Source organism: Homo sapiens, chromosome 3 (assembly GCF_000001405.40).
Source record: "Homo sapiens chromosome 3, GRCh38.p14 Primary Assembly".
NCBI classification, from domain to species: Eukaryota; Metazoa; Chordata; class Mammalia; order Primates; family Hominidae; genus Homo; species Homo sapiens.
The window spans coordinates 89124517-89145594 of record NC_000003.12 but is presented as its reverse complement, the minus strand read 5'-3'; the positions used below and the strand labels follow the sequence as shown (position 1 = coordinate 89145594).

At 32.6% G+C, this 21078-nt stretch overlaps 1 protein-coding gene across 5 annotated transcripts in view; it reads right to left on the bottom strand.

Annotated features, from left to right (window-relative positions):
* The window catches only part of EPHA3 (EPH receptor A3), a 374514-nt gene that overhangs the window by 336540 nt on the left and 16896 nt on the right, over positions 1 to 21078 (bottom strand). For all 5 annotated transcript variants that reach the window (NM_005233.6, NM_001410778.1, XM_005264715.4 and 2 more), the window contains exon 2: positions 18322 to 18386. In NM_005233.6, coding sequence (NP_005224.2) covers positions 18322 to 18386 — 65 coding nt within the window. The remainder of the gene's footprint in view (positions 1 to 18321; positions 18387 to 21078) is intronic.

Sequence of the window (21078 nt, the reverse complement as noted above, 5' to 3'; positions counted from 1 at the left end):
AGTGAAAAGAATGGAAGGATATAAGCTATTGAATGTTATAAATTCAGACAAATTTATAAAGAAAAGATTGCAAGATAAGATCTTTCAAAGAGCTATATTATGAAGATCATTCTATATTGCTTTAAATAACTGTGCTAAGAATTGATTTAGCTCAAATAATATATGTGTATATACATATCTGGAAATTGAGTATGTTCACACAGTAGTTTTATTAAGAAGTTGATATGATGGATATTATTTTAAATATTTTTGTATATTTCCTTGAAGAATCTCTATATAAAGGTAAATACACTATTATGTGTGTGTGTGTGTGTCTGTTTGTGAATATATGTAATACACACAACTAAAATAGAATGTTTCTAACTTGTTTGAATTATAGAAAATAAAGTAATTCATTAGCAGCAAAGTTTTGAGAACAATGACTCAGGTAGGCAAAAGAATATCAACTTTTTAATCCCTGTCCCTGTCTCCCCTCCTCTATCAAGAAAACAAAATTTTGTTTAGAGGATGAATTCTTTTCTTCCTGGAAAGGAAAAAGAACTTGTCTTATTTTATGAGGGTAAATTCAATTTTATTTTTACCCTGTTAAATCATCGATCAAATCCAGTGGTTTTATTCAATGCTTACTATTGATACTATAAGAACGATATGATTGTTATTTCTTAATTTATTTCAAACAGTTCAACTAAAGTAGGTCAATAAACTGGTATATTTCAATTGGTAAATTATGCCTATTCTGGACTTTTTTCCTCAACTCTTATTAAACACCCAAAGTTTAATAATCAGCTTTGGGCATTGAAAATATAAACAATTGCCATATGTTATTACTGTAAAAAGAATCAAACCAAAACAAAACACAACCACAGAGTGTTTGGAAACGAGGAGCAAGCCTAGTATTCAGCACTCCATTTAAGCAAAAATAAATAATAGTATGGTATTGTAAAAATAACAAGAAATGTAAAAGAAATGCACACTGTCATCTTACAAGTGATAATATGAAAAGAAATGAAAGTGTTCATATGTGCAGATATTTTCTAATAGTAAACTGCACTGAAAGGTTTGTTGTAATGTTACCATTAATAATTCCAAAAGAAAACTAAGTTCAAAAAGAAGCACACCTCAATAAGTACAAAATGGAAGGCACACAAGGACAGAGGCTTCTTTTGTAAACTCAGAATTCAAAATGGCATGTGTAGAACTGGAAGGATACATAGATGGTCAAAGCAAACACAAAACAGCATCATATGTGAAAAGATGTGCAGGAATCTTACATGCATATCACTAAGTGACATTCTGACAGGGAAAACGACAGTCAGCAAAAAGATCTGTGGTTGCCATGGATGAGTGGGAGGAGGAAAGGAATGAGTAGGTGGAGCATAAGGGATATTTAGGGCAATTAAACCATTCTGTATGATATTGAAATGGTGAAAATATGTATTATGCATTTGGCAAAACCAACAGAACTGTAGAATACACAGAGTGAACTCTAATGCAGACTACGTACTTAAGTTAAAATAATGTATCAATATTGGTTCATCAATTTTCAAAAAACATACCCCAGCAATGCAAGATGTTAATTATGGAGGAAACTGTGGGGGTAAATGGGGAATATATGTGAACTCTCTGTACTTTCTGTTCAATCATTCTGTAAACTTAAAACTGCTCTAAAAATAAACCTATTAATTTTAAAAAGTTAAACTGATGACAAAATGATATGTGGTAAAATATATTATTGACTATAAATAGAAAAGAAAAAAATTCCTTCCTACTAAATGCAATGTGATACCCTGGATTGGATCCTGGAACAGAAAAAGGAAGTAACTGGAAAATATAGTGAAATCTGAATAAAGTCTGTAGCTTATAGTAATGTACCTACATAAATTCTTAGCTTTGATAGTGTACCACAGTTATGTAAGATTTAACATTATGAGAAAGTAGGTGGAGAGAATGGCAACTCTGTACTATCTTTGCAACTTTTCCGTATATCTAAAATTATTTTAAAAAGAATTTTTTTAAAACCCGCATTATACATGAAATAATTGACAGCTAGAATGAAATTTCCAACCACTATAGACCATATTCTTTCTTGACTTTGATAGCTCTAGTGCAAGAACAAGACAAAACACACTAGTATACTTGGTCCTTGTGGGTAAGACTTGTTTCTAGCTTTCTTTTGACTCTGAAATATCTAGGGAAAAAGTGCTTATACATTACTAATGACTGATTCTTAATCACCTAGAATCAAGTGAAAGCAAGATCTTTCAACGCCACTTAGTAGTACAGATTGGGTTATATTAATTAACATGACAGCTTTCTATTTAATTTGAATTATTGCTTATAGACCAGCTACATTGTATATTCCAAAAGAAACACAAAAGTATTACTAGAAAAGTAAAGAGAAATCTAGTCTCATTAAAAACAATTTAATTTTTTTTCCCAAACTCTGTAGGTATCGTGCAGAATTCCGGACTTAAAGATTTTATAAATATAATGTTATAGTTCCTTTTGTACAGGTAACCTTTTCATTTTTTCATTAGTTATATTTTATAGAATATTCTATAAATAATATTTAGATTCTTTCATATTAAGATATTTAATAATTAGCTAAAAGGTTAAAAGAGGATTTCCCCATTCTATTGTTAAACATGTTACAGCTAGTTAACTGTTCAGTCATTTCAATTTTTTGAACATAATCTTCATTTAGCATTGTGCCGGATCCATGCTCTTTTTTGAAAAGGCATAAAGGGGATCTCTACTGCGTGAGGCTATTGAAAGATTTGATGGCTCACTGGTCTAAATCAATCCATGAAATTCCTAATGATTATAACAATAAAAATAAAGTATGTACAATTTAAATAAATGGCTTTTACATTTTAAAAATCTTCTTTTTTTGGTGCACTTTGGCCACAGTATTTGATGAGAGATATCCTATTCTTCTAAGATGACAATTCAAAAGTGTCTATTTCCTGAGGAAGTACTCTAAAAGCACGTTAATATAAGTAACAGTTTATGTCAATTTTGAATAAAGACCAATAATTAAACAATTAAAACATCCTTTTACTTTGCTGTAAACATTTTGGGATGAAATCAATGTTAATACTCATGAGATTTTTTTTGGTATGTTTAAAGCAGGCCTATGGCCACAAAAGTTAGCTCATTTACTTATAAGTGCCTTGAGAGGTTTCATGCTCTGTTTATTTACAGCCACTTCCTATGGAACAGCCCCTGATCTAGTAACAGATTAAACAATAACTCCTCTCCCATTTAAACATTGCGGTAAATATAGACCAAAGTTTCTATTAAGAATCATAATTTCTACAAATGTTGTATCTATCATTTCAGTGCTTTTCAAAGGGAAATTGAACGTTGGGGGAAAAAGTGATATGGTAGACATTTCCTAAGGCTATTATTGTTTAAAATTCTATTTAAAGTTTCATGATTACCTCCCTTTTGTCAACCAAATGTCATGAGTATATTTTATAATTATTTTTAGAAACTATCAGTTTTAGATAGCAAATAGCATACAATATAAAATTAATATTTAGAAAAAAGTTTTATTTTTAGCTTCTATATATACTCTACCTCCAAAATACCCATAATTGACTCTGCTAAAACTCTAGAAGTACATTATATAAATTTCTTCAACTGCCTGGAGGAATCTGTGTAAAAATTTCCTATCTTCTAAATTTCCAGCAATTTAGAAATTATTTATAATATAGGGGCCATGAAACAATTTCATATATTGAAATAGCACATGGGATACCACTGGGTATGTTAGGATATGTGTTATAGATGCAGATATATGTGTAGATGTATACATAGATATATTCACACCTAGACGTATGTGTGTATATATATATATATAACAGATCACATCTCTTTTTAAAGTTTCATTGAAGTTCTGTCCTTTAAACTTTCATAATACCAAGCCATTTAAATTTATTTGCAGGCGAAAGCCTTAGTATTAATGTAGGACATTGGTTCTTAAAGTGTGATCTTTGGACAAGCACCATTAGCAAGGCAATCCATAACTATAAGGGTGGTATCCTTCAGATGGTTCTGATGTACTCTAAAGTTTGGGAAACATTGATCTAGGAGAAACCAAGACATGCATCAGTTATCATCAATCACAATATCATGGAAATTATCCTTGATTTCTCTACCCCCTTTCTGCCTAGTTGACACCCTTTCTTATAGAACAGATAGCATAAATCACCTGGCATCTATTACCTCCTTTCCATATCTTGTTAGACCTCTTTCTCTGATGACTTTGGTAGACCGTCTGATCTCTGCACCTCTAGTCTAAGTCCATGGAGTAAACATCCTAATTCCCAGACTTCATAACAATTTTGCATTAAGATGGAAGCCAAACCCTTGGCATAATGTATGAGGCTCTGTATTGGTCTTTTCCACTAAACTTTAAGATTTCCTTGGAAATAGCTTACTTCTCTTACCATATGTAGTATAAAGTAGTGGTGACGTGCATTTTATGGGAATCAGATTGTCTGATTTCCATTCCTGATGTTTTTACTTACTAGATTTGTGAATTTGTTCGATTTATTTAAATTCTTTGGGCCTTACTGTTCTCTCTTGTAAAACTTCATGGGATTGTGGTGAGAATTAAATGAAATGATATATCGAAAGCACTAGGAATAGTATATAGCCCTTTAGAGAAATATTAGCTATTGTATTGTTTGCATCTCTACTGCCAACAATAGTACCTAGTACACAGCAGGAGCTAAAGCAGTTGTTGGATAACAGAGTGAACAAATTTCAGTGTACTAAAGATTCTACAAGCCCCTTGTATGCTACATAAACTATTAAGAATTTGATAGGTTCTAGAAACGAATATTACCTCATATATTTTCACTTCTGAAATAATGCTATTACACTTAACCTTCCCCTAAATGTTTTCCTCTCCTAAACTTTTCTTTGAATCAGAATCACTTATTTCAGAAAATAAAAGTGTTTATTTTCCAAGAGATAATCACTAAAGCAAATTTCACCACAAAGGTTTTTTGGGAGTTATAAAGCTCATTTGTTCTGTTTTATATTTTAGTCTCCAAAAATTGTTGAAGGACTAACTTGTTACTCTAATTTATATTATCCAATTATTTTGAAAGCTACATATGAACAACATGTATTTAGTGATTATTTTAGCAGTTCAGAAAGCACAAAATAAAGCCAACAATTTAGAGATATTTTAAATCTTGAGAATTTACTGGCTAGAAGATAACATATCCAATCCTTCTGTTTTAAGACTAGTTGTAGGAAAATGATATACTAATTTTTAAAAGATCTTCAAAAATTAATTGGCTTATACAGAAATTGAAACTATGTGATATTTATTTTAGTTACATAGCAACATTTGAAAATACTCTTTCAATGCAAGCAGATTTAGATTAATCTTTGAATTCAAGCTAAAATCAATTTCTACTTGTCAGAAAATGAGTTAAGAATCTTTAGTCGTCAAGTGACAGCTCAGTCTCTGGATCATAAATCAAGTTGTGATGAAGGGATACACATTCACGAGAATGGAAAGCTAATAATAATCCTATACAACCTGATTTTTCTCTTGGGCTTATGAAAGATCAGCATTTTTCACCTGCTGAGAAAAGTAGCTCTATTTTGTCTGCTGTGTCTCCAGATTTGGATATTATCTTGGGTGCTGCTGCAATGCATGACACTCGGTTGAAGTAGTCTTGAAATTCTATAAAGTATAATCTGATAATATTAAACTACACAATCTTAAATCCTTCTTTGTCACTGTGCACAGACCAGTACTCCTCCACAGAGAGGAGGAATGAAAAGAGCACCGAACCCAGACCCAGAAGGTAATGACGTGACCTTCATCAAGTCACTAAGCCTACTTGAGCCTCAATTGCTTGTCTATCTAATTAGAGTATTGCACTAGATGATTTCTATAGTCGCTGCCGCTTCTGCCACCTCTAAAATTTGATTACTCATTCAAATATATTTTACTGCTCTAAATAAAGTAAAATTTTGCTGCCTTTAATGGAAAATGGAAGCAGCTCTATCAATAAACGTTTTCACAAGATTCTACATATAATATTTTTATGGCTTATTTGCTGCCTTTTCAGCACTCAGGATAGGCAAATTTCCATCAAAATTGTGTTACTAATTCAACTTAAGAAATGGCTACCTAGTACATCCATCCAACAATACGGATACAGATTACATATTTATTCAGGGAATTTCTGGACAAACACAGTTTACCAAATTGACTCATATCACCCACAAGATTTAAATCCTATTGAAGACTTTTGAGTAAACCTATGAAGTGTGCGGCTATCAGTTTTCCTGGGATTCCATGGCATGGAATAGTATCCAAGTATAGACCATCCAAAATGGTTAAAATTCTTTTAAAACATTGCATTGCATCTCTCCTTTCTTGAATAGGCTAGGCTGTCTCCCCGATTGCTGGATTCTTGGTCTTGTCACTTTACATTGAGAAGGGAGGTAGCCATTTACATTTTTTAAAAAATTAGCTTATTCTTAACCTTAGGCCCAAAAGAATATTGACTGTTATACAGAAGGGAAATATAATAACTTCTACTGCGAGAGTACTTTTCTGTCCCCCAACACACACTCTTTTGTTTGTTTCTTTTGCTTTCCTTAGTTTACTAGATAATTTTCATGTTCACTGAGTCCTCTATAGGTCCTACAAGTTACTCAGTTTTCCACATATGACTTCTCTTTGTTTTGTGCCTTTATAATAAATACTATAATCTGATTAACATAAAAGAAAAGAAAATAATGAAGATTTGATTTTTAAGAATAGCCCTTCCTGGAGTCTTAACAAAATAATAAAAGTTCTACTTGATGCTAAATCCTCAAGATATATAACCAAAGAATAAAAGGCTCATTCTAGGTCCCATTAACCTATAATGGGAACTTTTACAGTGCCCTTTCTGATTCCTATTTGTTCTTCAATTACACTATCCTCCCTGATCACCTGCTTAAAATGTTGTCTTTGATTGATGTGAGCATTTTAGGGTGGCACACAAAATTCATCACAGTCTGATCCTAGTAACACTCTAGGAACAGTTAATAGTCATTTCCCAGACAACCTTATATTCTAGTAACTGCATGACAGGGACTTTCCAATTCTGTATTCCCATTTTCCTATCACTTAATTCATTGTTTATTTAGTTTTTGGGTTTTAGTATCATCTCTTTTATCATGAGCAATGGATTCCAGATATATAAATACTGTACAAGTATTTGTAAATATTGAAGATACTACATGTGGTTCAAACTAAATTCCAAGAATACATGAGATAAATTTGATGACTTGGAAATAAATTCCTATGACAAATTTCCAGGAATAGATTTCCCAAGTTGCCAGGGAAACGCGTCTTTTCTCTTCCTGTGTGTTTATTGTAAAATCCAATATTTTAAAAATATCAACAGTTATATTAATCATGAATTATACACAGTGCTGTATTTAGAGGTTGAGATGAACTACAGCCCTGAATCAAGCAGCAGCTGAATATCTTAGTAAGTACTGTGTGCCTCATTACATCAGATAACGATCTTCTAACACAGCAATCCCCAAACTTGAGTAGCATCAGAATCCCATGGACAGCCTATTAAAAATCCTATTGCTGGGCCCCATCCTCAGGGTTTCTAATGCAACAGGTCATGATTGGGGCCCAGAATTTTGCATTTCTAACAACTACTGTATACAAGTTTAAAGGTAACAATTTTGATCTGTTAGTTTATGTATATCAAACTGCCTTATTAACAAAATTAATAAAAATAATGTGTAATAATATGATTTTAAGTATATCAGAAAAATCCAAGTGTATCAGCCCCTTTGACATTTTTCTTCTTATGTCACATGCAATGGAGATGAATGATTTTAGCAACTCCCAAGGAATCTCATACATTACTTTGGTAATATTTTTATTCACATAATTATTTCTCAATAAAGTGAGCATCATATGTAGGAAAAAAAGTAATGGTAATCTACAGCTATTAAGGTTGCAGAAATACTTAAGGTGGTTTATGTTGTATACATCATAGCCATTAAGCATTCTTAGGTTCAATGACTATCATTTGGGACATGGGACTTACGTAAAAAGTATACTATACCATAGTTTTTATAGACTAAATTTAATTTCTTTTTTTAATCTTTCAAAAGAAACTAAGCACCAGAGTGTAATAAGCCTAAGGGTCCAAATAATTAAAAATTTTCATAAAGGAGGCAATATTTTAAATAAGCAAAGCTTTTGTGTGAATTATTTTTATAAATTCTTGTTTTACACGTAATGGAATGAAACAGTTGAAACTCCTTTCCATCAGGGTATGTATCTTGTTCTTATATCCTTCATACAAAAGAACATTTGGAAGCTTGAAAACATAATGTTTAGTCTGAATATACTCTTTATAAAATATTAAAGGAATAGGCCATTTCTTAATAATGCACAAACCTATTCAGTCTGCCATACACTATTTTGCATGTTTCAACACATTTAATGTATAATGAATTGAATATGAAAGCCATTCTTTTAAAATTATAATATGTATATTTTTGGTCACTTTTATTTTAATAACTGTGCATTTTTGACCAGAAAATATGCTAATTTGAAGTTGCACAACAAAACAGAGCTTAGTGCCAAAGTTATTTGTTTTAGAGAAAAAATGTTATCAATATGAGAAACTAGCAGAAGCAGAATTTTGTCTTCTATTTGAAATTTTTAAATCTACTTTAAAAAAATAAAGAATGATTATAGCAAATATATGAAATATTTAAACTGTCAAAATAGAAATGAAAATTATTTGACTACATCTTAGCTTTTTATTTAACTTTATAGTTAATATATGTTAGGTAAGGATTATAAAGCACAAATGAATTCATGAGTAAAGCTGGAGGAAATAAAACCCATGCACTTATGTTTCAAGTCTCCTTTATTTTAAATCCCACTAAGCTTACATCAAAGTAAAAGAAATGAAATATAGTACATGCCATATTTTTAAAATTCTAATCCAATCTCCTAAAACATAAACACTGTTTTGATGAAGAGAACACAATTCATAAAGAGACATAGTGTTAGCAACAGAAAAATCACTTCTATTTTTTTAAAGCACCAAGAAAACATTTTACTTTTTATAAATTAAAAGTCGCTAGAATAAATTCTATCTTATCTGATTTCTAGCACCTGTCCACGTTTTCCCTTTTTTTTTTCAGAGTGCATTTTGTTTCAAGGAAAGGGTCAAAAAAAAAAAAAAAAAAAAAAAAGCCTGTAAGATTTTGCCATGTTTTTCTAATTTAATCAGACATCCTTCCTTGAAAGGTCAGCATAATAGGTGAAAGTGACATACTTAAAATAGAGTTTAGTCAGAAAAATTTCAAGTGACCAAGAATCACATATCACATATGTCAAAAATTTGATGTTCCTGGATTGACTATTCAGCCTATGAAGTAGAATTTGGACTGTGATTCATAAAGGCAGAATCCCAGGTGATTATTGCTGACACACAGTTGTCAAAATATTATTTCTGCATATAAAACCCCATTCACAAAGCGAAAGCTAGAAATCCAGTTGGTAAGATTTTTAGAACCCAAACTTCCCAAATAGCAATAATTCTAATACTACAGGCAAATAACATCATACTGTAAAGTAGAAAAGTAATTACTTATTTTAGAAAGTATTTTTATTATTTTCATTCCTGTCTATGATTTATTCATTTTAAACAGTTCTATGATTTGCTCAACTGGATTTATTTACAGGATTCTCACTTTTTTCCCCTTGATAACAATCAATATAATTTTCAATATGAAGCTATCTTTACATAGTTTTTTTTTTCAGTTAAACTTCAGTTCACAAGCCAGTTGTATTTTCTAGCTACATTTAACTAAATATGTCTGCTAGTAAAAAAGACAATGTAATATATTTAATATAGATATATTATAGATTATTCAAGATATATGCGTTTATATATAAGAATTGTACTTAATTTTATGCCATTAAAAGAGACAATGAAATCCCTAAAAGACATTATTTCAAGTAATATAGTGTAAATCATCAAATTATTTTCAAAAAACAAAACAAAACAAAAATCGTTGTTAGCTCTCTTATTTGGGAAAGCTCTTATTATTCATTTTTTAGATAATTTTAATTAATGGGCAATTAATACAGGAACTGTAAATGCTGAGAGTTAAGGGAGAATTTCATGAAATGGGGATTGGCCTCACACAGCTTGCAGTTTCCTGGCTGAAATAAAGATCAATCAAATGATTGCATTAATGTATAATTGTAAGCTGTGGATATACAACAAAGAACATGCATAAGGAGGTAGAGGAACTTATCAGGTGTTGTATGCTAGGAATAGGGGTGACAGTCATTTAGGAGGTGGTGGGGCAGGAGGGTGGCTTGTGAAAAGTCAGGAGGTCTCCATGAAAAAGTAACATTTGACCTGAAATCTGAAATATCAATATTTGAGAACATTCTCATCACTAAAAATTATAAATAAACTGCATACCAAATTACTATGTTTAAACTGCCTCAATTATTAAGTTGGTGCAAAAGTAATTGCAGTGTTTGCATTGTTGAAATTTGCCATTTGATATTGGAATACATTCTGAATTAAGTGTGAAATATGTTATACATCATTTTAATGTGCATTTCTCGTTTTGTTTTTGGTAATGACTTATTATTTGCTGTTTGTTTTATATGTATTTCAGACGATGGAAATGATGTTAGACAAAAAGCAAATTGGAGCAATTTTCTTACTGATGTTGAAAATGGATTGTAAAGCAGTGGAGACAACTCACAACACCAACAACCCATTTGGCTCAGGAACTGCTAATGAAGGTCCAGTGCAGTGGTGGTTCAAGAAATTTTGCACAGGAGACAAGGGCCTTGAAGATGAGGAGCATAGTGACCGGCCATTGAAAGCTGCGGCACTATTCACAATAGCAAAGACTTGGAACCAACCCAAATGTCGAACAATGATAGACTGGATTAAGAAAATGTGGCACATATACACCATGGAATACTATGCAGCCATAAAAAATGATGAGTTCATGTCCTTTGTAGGGACATGGATGAAGCTGGAAACCATCATTCTCAGCAAACTATCGCAAGGACAAAAAACCAAACATCGCACGTTCTCACTCATAGGTGGGAACTGAACAATGAGAACACTTGGACACAGGAAGGGGGACATCACACACCAGGGCCTGTTGTGGGATGCGGGGAGTGGGGAGGGATAGCATTAGGAGATATACCTAATGTAAATGACGAGTTAATGGGTGCAGCACACCAACATGGCACGTGTATACATGTGTAACAAACCTGCACGTTGTGCTCATGTACCCTAGAACTTAAAGTATAATTTTTTTAAAAAAAAAAAAAGAAAGTTGACAAGGACCAGCTGAGAGTGATCATAGAAGCTGATTCTCTTACAACTGCACAAGAGGTTGCCGAAGAACTCAAAGTTGACCATTCTGCGGTTGTTCGGCATTTGAAGCAAATTGGAAAGGTGAAAAAACTTGATAAGTGGGTGCCTCATGAGCTGAGCGAAAGTAAAAAAAAAAAAAAATGTTGTTTTGAAGTGTCATTTTCTGATTCTACACAACAGTGAACCATTTCTCGATCAGATTGTAACGTGCGACGAAAAGTGGATTTTATACAACTGGTGACAAGCATCTCAGTGGCTCGACCAAGAAGAAGCTCCAAAGCACTTCCCAAAGCCAAACTTGCATTAAAAAAGCCGTGGTCACTGTTTGGTGGTCTGCTGCTGGTCTGATCCACTGCAGTTTTCTGAAGCCCGGTGAAGCCATTACTTCAAAGATTATGCTCAGCAAATTGATGAGAGGCATCGAAAACTGCAATTCCTGCAGCCGGCATTGGTCAACAGAAAGGGTCCAATTCTTGTCCACGACAATGCCCAATGACACGTTGCACAAACAATGCTTCAAAAGTTGAACAAATTGGGCTACATAGTTTTGCCTCATCTGCCATATTCACCTGACCTCTCGCCAACCGACTACCACTTCTTCAAGCATCTCCAGAACCTTTTGCAGGGAAATCGCTTCCACAACTAGCAGGATGCAGAAAATGCTTTCCAAGAGTTCGTCGAATCCCGAAGCACAGATTTTTATTCTACAGGAATAAACAAACTTATTTCTCGTTGACAAAAATGTGATGATTGTAATGGTTCCTACTTTGACTAATAAAGATGTGTTTGAGCCTAGTAATAATGATTTAAAATTCGTGGTCCAAAACCGCAATTCCTTTTGCAGCAAGATTGTATGCGAACTTTTGTCTGTGCAGATTATATGAAATAAAAATGAAGTGACATCAGAGGCAATGTATTGGGCTCTGAATTTAGAAGAGGTGCCTGCTGAGACTTCACACAACACTGTCAACTTTCCTTCTCCTAAATACAAATTCAAGACCTCAAGTGTAGACTGAGATTTAAGGAGACATGTAAATGAATTTAGCAAGAGTTTGAATTAAAATGGGAGAACCTCAAAGCTTGTCTTAGAATAAGAAATGATATTTATATAGCTCTTTCACATGTATTATATGTATTTGTATTCTTAGATGCATAGAAATATTTCAGTTGCTCAAATCTCATTTGCTCTAAAGTGATATGACATAGGAATTACTCTAATTCCTTTTTTTAGAGGTGAAGACAAATGTTTTTCAAGATTTAAAAAAATTCTTTTTGAGAGACAGAGTCTGGCTCCGTCATTCAGGCTAGAGTGCAGCGGCTCAGTCGTACCCCACTGCAGCCTGGAACTCTTGGGCTCAAGCAATCTTCCCACCTCAGCCCCCTGAGTAGCTAGAACTACAGGTGAAGGCCACCACTCCAGGCTAATTTCTATTGATCGATTGATTGATTGATTGATTGGAGATGGGGTGTTATCACTGTGTTTTCCCAGGCTGATCCTGAAGCCCTGGCCTCAAGTGATTCTCCTGCCTTGGTCTCTCAAAGCGCTGGGATTACAGGTATGAGCCACCTGGTCAGTTTTTGATTAATTGGCTTACATCTGATTATATAATAAGTGGTAGAGATAGAATGGAAATGCAGATGCCTCAATTCTAACCAATGTTCTTAACCTGTTTTACTACTCTATTATTTTTGACATCATACTAAAGTACCAAAAAAGACAATCTGGAAAATATAAATAACACTATAATATACAATTATGCCATAGCCATAGCCTCCATTTAGAAATTAGAATATTTGAGCAAAGATAAAACATTCTATCCTGTAAGGATGCCTTTTATTTGAAAGCATGAAAAACACTAAGAGTGGCTTAAATAACAAAGAAGAGGCATTCTTTCACGTAATTCAGTGGTTCAGTGATATCAAGGTTCCATGCTGGCTTCTCTTATGCTCACTGGGCTCTGCCTTTCTAGTCCCGAGAGAAATGCAGCTGCTGCAGACCCAGAGCCTTTACAGAACAAGCCCAAACGGAGGAAATGATGGGTCTCTCCCTATCTCTCCATCAGGAGGAAAACCTTTCCTAGAAATCACTGGAATTCTGCACCAGTCTCATTGGCTTTACTTACACTTGCTTCAACCAATCCCTGCAACAATAACTATCATGGTCATGATTAGTTCCAAGATGAATCAGCATTCAACCCATGGAGTCGCAGAGGGGCCATTTTCCAGGAACACCTGGGAGGGTGAAAACTTGAACAATATCGATGTTTCTTTCATCAGCAAGGAGAATCCAGCGAACAGATATTGGGTGGGCAATCAACAAGCTCCCTATTTGCCAAAAGAGTGTTTTCCTTTAAGTGCATGTTCACCGCTAAGACATCAATAAATATCTAAAGAAACTTTAATTCCACAATTACTAATTCGGATACCTCTTTCTGTTTTCCACAAACATATATTACTCATTTCAGACAGTGCTTTTTCTACACTCCCTGAACCCTGCCAGTCCTCACTCTCTTCTTATTGGAGTTTCTTTAATTAAGTGAGTCATAGCTCATGATTTCTTTGTACTAGTTAATCACAATATCAATACTATACTAAGTGAAAACTGTGTAGCTCAACCTTCCTTGGATCTCTCCTCCAATGCATTTATGTAGTGATATGTAGTCTAAGAAAGTTTACGTGGTAGATAGACACTATCAATCAGTCAATCAATCAATCAATTTAAGTACAATCAATTTAAGTCATGTGTAAGCAAAAGGCTGTTTTTAGAAAAAAACAATAACCTAACAATATATAGAGGCTTTGATATGTGTTGATTGTTCTCCAAATCAAATATTAATATTAGAACGATTGAATTATTTACCCAAATTTCTGAATAAAATTAAGCCCTGGATTGAAATATCATATCATTCATAGTTTATAGGGCCAGAGAAGGTAACTGCTTCAGTCTGCTTTGCTAAAGTCACCAAATATAATGCCAGATTATATGAGTGTCAAATAAAACTCTTTCATTGAAAAATGAATTGCTATTCACGACCTCCACAAATAATTTCAGTTTACAAATTTGAGTATTATTTTCATGACCTTCATTTAGAGAAAATTAAAGTTTCATTAAATTTACTCCCAGATATTTATTTGGAGAATTAGTCCAAGGCCTAATAATATATGTAGTATCATATCTCCCTACAAGGTTTTCTCTAAGATATGAAGCACCATTTAAAAATGGAGATAGGGACCGGGCGCGGTGTCTCACGCCTGTAATCCCAACATTTTGGGAGGCCAAGGCGGGCGGATCACGAGGTCAGGAGATCGAGTCCATCTTGGCTTACACGGTGAAACCCCGTCTCTACTAAAAAACACAAAAAAATTAGCTGAGCGTGGTGGCGGGCGCCTGTAGTCCCAACTACTCGGGAGGCTGAGGCAGGAGAATTGCGTGAACCCGGGAGGCGGAGCTTGCAGTGAGCCGAGATCGCGCCACAGCGCTCCAGCCTGGGTGACAGAGCGAGACTCCATTTCAAAAAAAGAAAAAAAAAAAAAAAAAGGAGATAGAAATACTACTCCCAAGAAAATTACCTAGGTGAATTGTAAAGTTTCATGTATGAATACGTCTTTGGAGGAAAAGGAAGAATAGAAATAGAAAAGAAATTATATGTAGGAATGAACTACTCTTCACCATTTTTCTCCAAATATGTTAATTTTTTATAGCTCAGATGATACAAGCATTCCATGAAAGATTCAAGTTTGAAATGAATCACTTATTTATTTTTTAAAATTTATATTTCAACAGATTTGGAATTTAGAGCTTCTGATGAGAATATGATTGGAAGTTAGAGAGGGAGCTGGCAGTCTCCCAAATCTCCTTAGTTATGGACATTTCCTGATGGAATGCTATTATTAATCCCCTAAGTAAGAGTTTCTCAATTTAGCCACTGTCATTTTAGACCAGGTCATTCTTCTTTTTAGGGGCTGCCATGTTCATTGGAAGATATTTAGCAGTACCTCTTGTCTCCCCTACTAAATGTAAAAGTGCCTGCTTTCTCCAGTTGTTACAAAAGTCTTCAAACATTGCCAAATATCCCACCGAGGCAAAATAAAAATTCCCTCTTCCCTTACTCGCTCAACCTGTTAAGAACCACTACCCTAAATCAAGAGTGAGAATTTGCAGTGATTTAATATGGTATAATATTGTTATTATGATTTTTTCCTCTTAAGTTTACAGTCATATTTTAGTTATCCTCCAGTCAGATGTACTGCCAGTTATTAGAGTTAATTAATTTGAAAAATAACAAACTCAAAGTTATTTCCAGCTATTACTTGTCTTTTTTTTATGAAAAACGTTTCAGCAAGGATATCACAATTGTTATAAGTATCTATTTCCTTTAAAAACAATACAACCACAAAACTAATCTATCCTTGTCATATTAAAAATGAGAGCAATAACAATAATTAATTGAATCTAGAGGCACAAATATTTGTATATGCCAGGCTATTAAATCCAAAACCTAAACTTACCATACATTATTTTCACCCAGTAATTTGGTCAGTTTCTCAAAAAAAAAAAAAAAACAATCTAATGTTTTCTAAATCTGCACTATATATTTCCTTATATATATTATGGTTAACTTTATATGTGGGAAATTTAAAGGAAATATACACTATATATCACCACAGAACAATAATTCACATCATTTGATTTTATTCTTTTTTTTAGCTTCGGAGTTCTCAGGTATTGTAAGTTTCATGAACTATTGGGGAGTGTCTCTTTTCTCCCTGCAAATAATAATGATAAGCTTGAAGAGAATGACCAACTGTTTTAGGCTATTTTATGCATCAGAAATAGGAAAATCACAGTTGCAAGATCAACAGAGGACAGCAATGAAGAGGAGCTAATGGGTCCAAGTGGGGATCTCTGAGGCAACAGTAAACCAAAGAAGAAACTGAAAACTTTTGACTGTGGAAGTTATAAGAGATTTCTGGGGAACAAAGAGACAGTAAATTGGGCCAGAGATGGGAAATGTGAAGAGGTAATTTATGCAGAGGAGTGTTTCTCAAATTCAATGTGCTAAAGAGTCACCTATTGAGATACACATTCTGATTCACAATGTCTGGAGCAGGGTCTGGTAGTCTGCATTTCTAACAATCTCCCACATGTTGATGTTGCTGGTTTGTCCCTGTGCCACACTTTACCCAGCAAGGTGCTAAGAATACCCCACTGTCTACCTCCAACATAGCTCTGGAAGTAGATGTGCCAACTCTATCCCATCACATTATCTATGAGAATAACAATGGGGGAATTCATTTCCCCCAATTCCCAATATAAAAAATGTGTTACCATTATACCTTCTTTAAAGGAAAACATAAGCCAGACTGTTGCTGTGAAATATAAGATGATTTCTTGTTTTAAAAAGAAACATATACATATCTATTAGTTATAGATACTAATATAGTAATATATATACTATATTATTGAGTATATAGTATATATAGTATATAGTATGTCTATATATGGTATACAGTATACCATATACTAATATATAGTTACTAAATGTTACCATAGCTTTTGCTTTTCTTATATCCTGAAGCAGCAGATTCTCTGGTATATTATCTGAAGGAGTCATGAAAAATTTAAATTTCTAAAATCAAATTAAGGTGAGGTTTGACTTTTAGATGATTAGTTTCAAATGAGTTTTCCAGCTCAAACTTGAGTTTCAATTCACTCTTTATGACAACCTAGGCTGTGCTTTTATCTTAATCATTTGATTCCTTTTACACCTCTGGGAAAACCAAATCCTGGCTTACTTCATACTCTCTCCTCTAAAGTAACTAATGAAGGCTTGATTTTAGGTTTTGGCATATTGTCAAAGTCAAGGTGTGTCAGGAAGAGAAGCAGATACAAAGATGACAGATAGATGAAGTATCTCTGATGGAAAACATCCGCTGGTGAAGAAGCTGGTGCTATCAAAAAATTGTGTATATTTAGGCACAAAAATCTAAAGACTGAACGCCAACACGAAGTGGAAGTAATTACAATCTCTTGAAAAGACGACTATCATAGAAGGACAGGAATACATAAATTTGTTCCTATGACAAATATTTCAAAATAGTACTTCACATATTTCACAAACTATACTTAGAAACAAAAAGGTATGCTCAGGAATTTATTACACAATTGTGTAGGGAAAAGAGTTTGAGAAATGTAAATAACACTCCCCTCATTTTTCAGAAAAAATAAAAGAAAAATGTTCTCCCATAAAAGCCTCATTATAGTCATTCAGAACACCAATATGCTACACACTCTGTAATTTGTATCTGGATTGATAAAATACCAAAGCTATGTAAAAAGTTTAAAACTTAAAGGCAGCAGCAGATTTTTTCTAAGTAATATTCCCATTTTTGAGCTGATCTAGGCAAACTGTAGACATTTGAAACAAGTAAATTAAGACAACATAGGTTTATACTGTTGACCAATAAATTCTAACTACTTGGAAGAGCAGTTACTGAGGTTGATTTTAAGGCTATGACTTTGGAGATTACCGTCTCCAAATACACACTTTCTACATTACCTGAAATTTAGACAGTCTAATTAATTCACTTATTCTGATCACATCAAAAAAAGTCACTCTTAGATCATTGACATGATGCCAATAATAATTAAACTATTTAATCAGTCCATTCAAGCAATTGATAAATTAAGGAGAAAAAAAATCTTCAAAATTCTCACTAGCTCCATTGGACACAAATGTCAAGCTGTGGTACTCCATATATTGAATACTCCTATAAGTATAATTTGTCACCAGAAGTACAAGAGTTCTCTTTAGAGAATACAATAAATTCATCTGCTCCCTAAGACAGGTAATAGAGAAAATGTTTCCTTGTGATAGTTTATTGAACTCACCCCATGTGATGGATAAGAGATCCAGCCCAGCTCCCCTTGAATTGTTTTTGAATCCAGTAGATTGACTAAAATAAAACATAATACACAAACACAGTTAATAACAGTGAATTATTTCTATTTGCTTCTGTTGAGTTCACATTGTCTGTTGTTGATGTTGCTCAAAAAACATAACTCTTCCTTCTCATTATAAGTCTATAATTAGGATAAAAAGAAGGAAATTACAAAAAATACACAGGGAAAGTTAAGAGATCAAAAGTTTCTGTGTCCTTTTAAACTGTTTGCATTTGTTTACAAGGATAGGTTAATGTTCAATATACTGGCAATTTCTGGCATAATAATTATGGGTTTAAAGAGGAAACAATAAAAATGCATAATAGAAAACAACATTAATGCTAGCATATCAAAATAACTTCAAAAATATTAAATTTGATAAATTTACATATGATTCCACAATTAATTCATTTCTTAAATATGTTGACAGAATGAGTCAATTTATCTGTTTATTTATATCTAATATGACACCTTCATATCATCCCTGGCTAATACTCAACATATTATTCTGCAATGTGTATTTTTTAAAAATGTATTCATTATTTACTTATATGTAACACACAAAAAGCTTAACTACCAATTTGAGGAGAAATCAAAGTAAAACTATGTTTTATAATAACACCTGTGTAAAGCTTTACTTATTTAAAGTAATTATTTTTACTCAAAGGCTTTAGTGGTTTTACTCAGAACTTTGTGCTAGTTCTAATGACTTTTAATCGATATTTGTATACAAAAAGTAAAATATAGCATGCATATGGTTGCATTTTTAATATATTATTAAAAGAAGATGGAACACTGTTTATTTTCCATACTGAATATTCATTTGTAATAGGTTAGAAAATAAAATATACAACAGCATTTCAAATACAATCAATAACAAAAGGTTCACTTTAATTGTCTATCTGACCTATTAAATAATGGAAACTATGGTTTTACCTCATCTTTCTCCTAAATTAGAAAACAATCCCATGATTGACTAATGGAGGATGTGAAGGAAGGTTACATAAACTAAGCATGCATTATTAACATGAACCAGACCATGAAAATCAATAAATACAATAGAAGGGAATCATTTTCAGGGGTTACATATATACACAAACCAAAACATAATGTAAATACATACACCGCACAACATGTTCTCATGTTGTTTATAAAGTGTTTCCTGATACATGAAAAGCACCATCCTTTTAAAAGTCATCTCAAGTATTTTTTTTTGCAAAGCAAACATTAATCTTTTAAATGTTAAGAAAAATAAATTGTGTATTTGATAGACTTTAAAAAATCATCTCAACTATTTTTTTGTGAAGGAAATATTAATCTTATAAAATGTTAAGAAAAATAAATTACATATTTGATAGACATTAGGTTTCTAAATTTTCAAGCAGTACTAAAATTTTGATTATCTGGTTAGTTGATAAATAAATTAAATGGGTAAAAGTAAGGCTCTTGATCACTACAATTTAAAAGAAATACAATTCTCAAAGTTAGATTCTTTACGTTTTGCTAGTGAAAGACAAACATAAACTTTACCTTTTATATTATAATTCCTTAATGATTAAAGAATTTTTTCCCAATAAATTAATCCTAATTAGAAGTAATTGTATTTAAATTAAAACAGAAGATAGATAGCCGCTGCATGGATTACATAGTATAATTTCCATAATTGAATTATTTCCCAGGATATCAGTTTGGAAATTAACAGTATGCTTAATTATATTGCAATTATCTCTGAAAAATAATTAAATACCCTCAACCAATTAATCAATGTTATAGATTATATTTCAGATAACTGTTAGAAAATTTTTGAAAATATGAAAATACTTCCTCACCTTTAAATTAAAGGATATTACTAACATTTATTCTGATAAAAGATATACCTAGTTCAGTTGTTAGTTGTGTGATACCAATCATTTAATTTCTCTGAGCTTTATATGGGATTTGCATAGTAGAAATCAGCTTGCCAGTATACATAAATTATTAGATTATATTTGCAATGTCCTTAGGGGTTTAAATGGCTTAATGTATCATTGTGTTCAGGTAGTAATTGCACATTACTAAATGATAATTATATGTTACTCCACATGTTAAGATCAATCACTAGTTTAATCTCAGTATTAGTAACCAGAGTGAGAAGAAGAAGATATGGTTATTACATAGACTCCATTTAGTAAATTACTTATTGGAATGTAGGTTGTCAACTAATGAACTACCATATCCTTACGTTTCTTCTGATAATAAGAACAATGGAAAAGAACTGGACTAATCACATCAGCATTTGGTTTCTACTCAAAGGAGAACAAATAAACCAAAATAGGTTAGACCATACAGTCAATTAAAGTAAGTGTAGAAGATTAATTAAATTTATTGCATTTACTCAGAAATTAAATTTTTAGTGCACTCTATTCAGCATAAATGAGAAAAACACAATTAGCAGCATTACTTCTGACTGATTCTATTGTCTATCAATTATATCTACCCTGAGTATCTTGCAATGTTGCTGTAATGTTCAAATACCATAAATATCTTTAAATCCACCATGAGTTTATAACATGCTGTACAGACTTCCTTCTCGTAAATTTAATACATTAATATTATTTAACAACAGTTCCATTGTGGCTTCTAAATTGTATTTATAATTCAATTACATGACCTAAATACATGATCTAGTAGAGTAGAATAGTTAACTTCAAAACACACTTTAAAAGC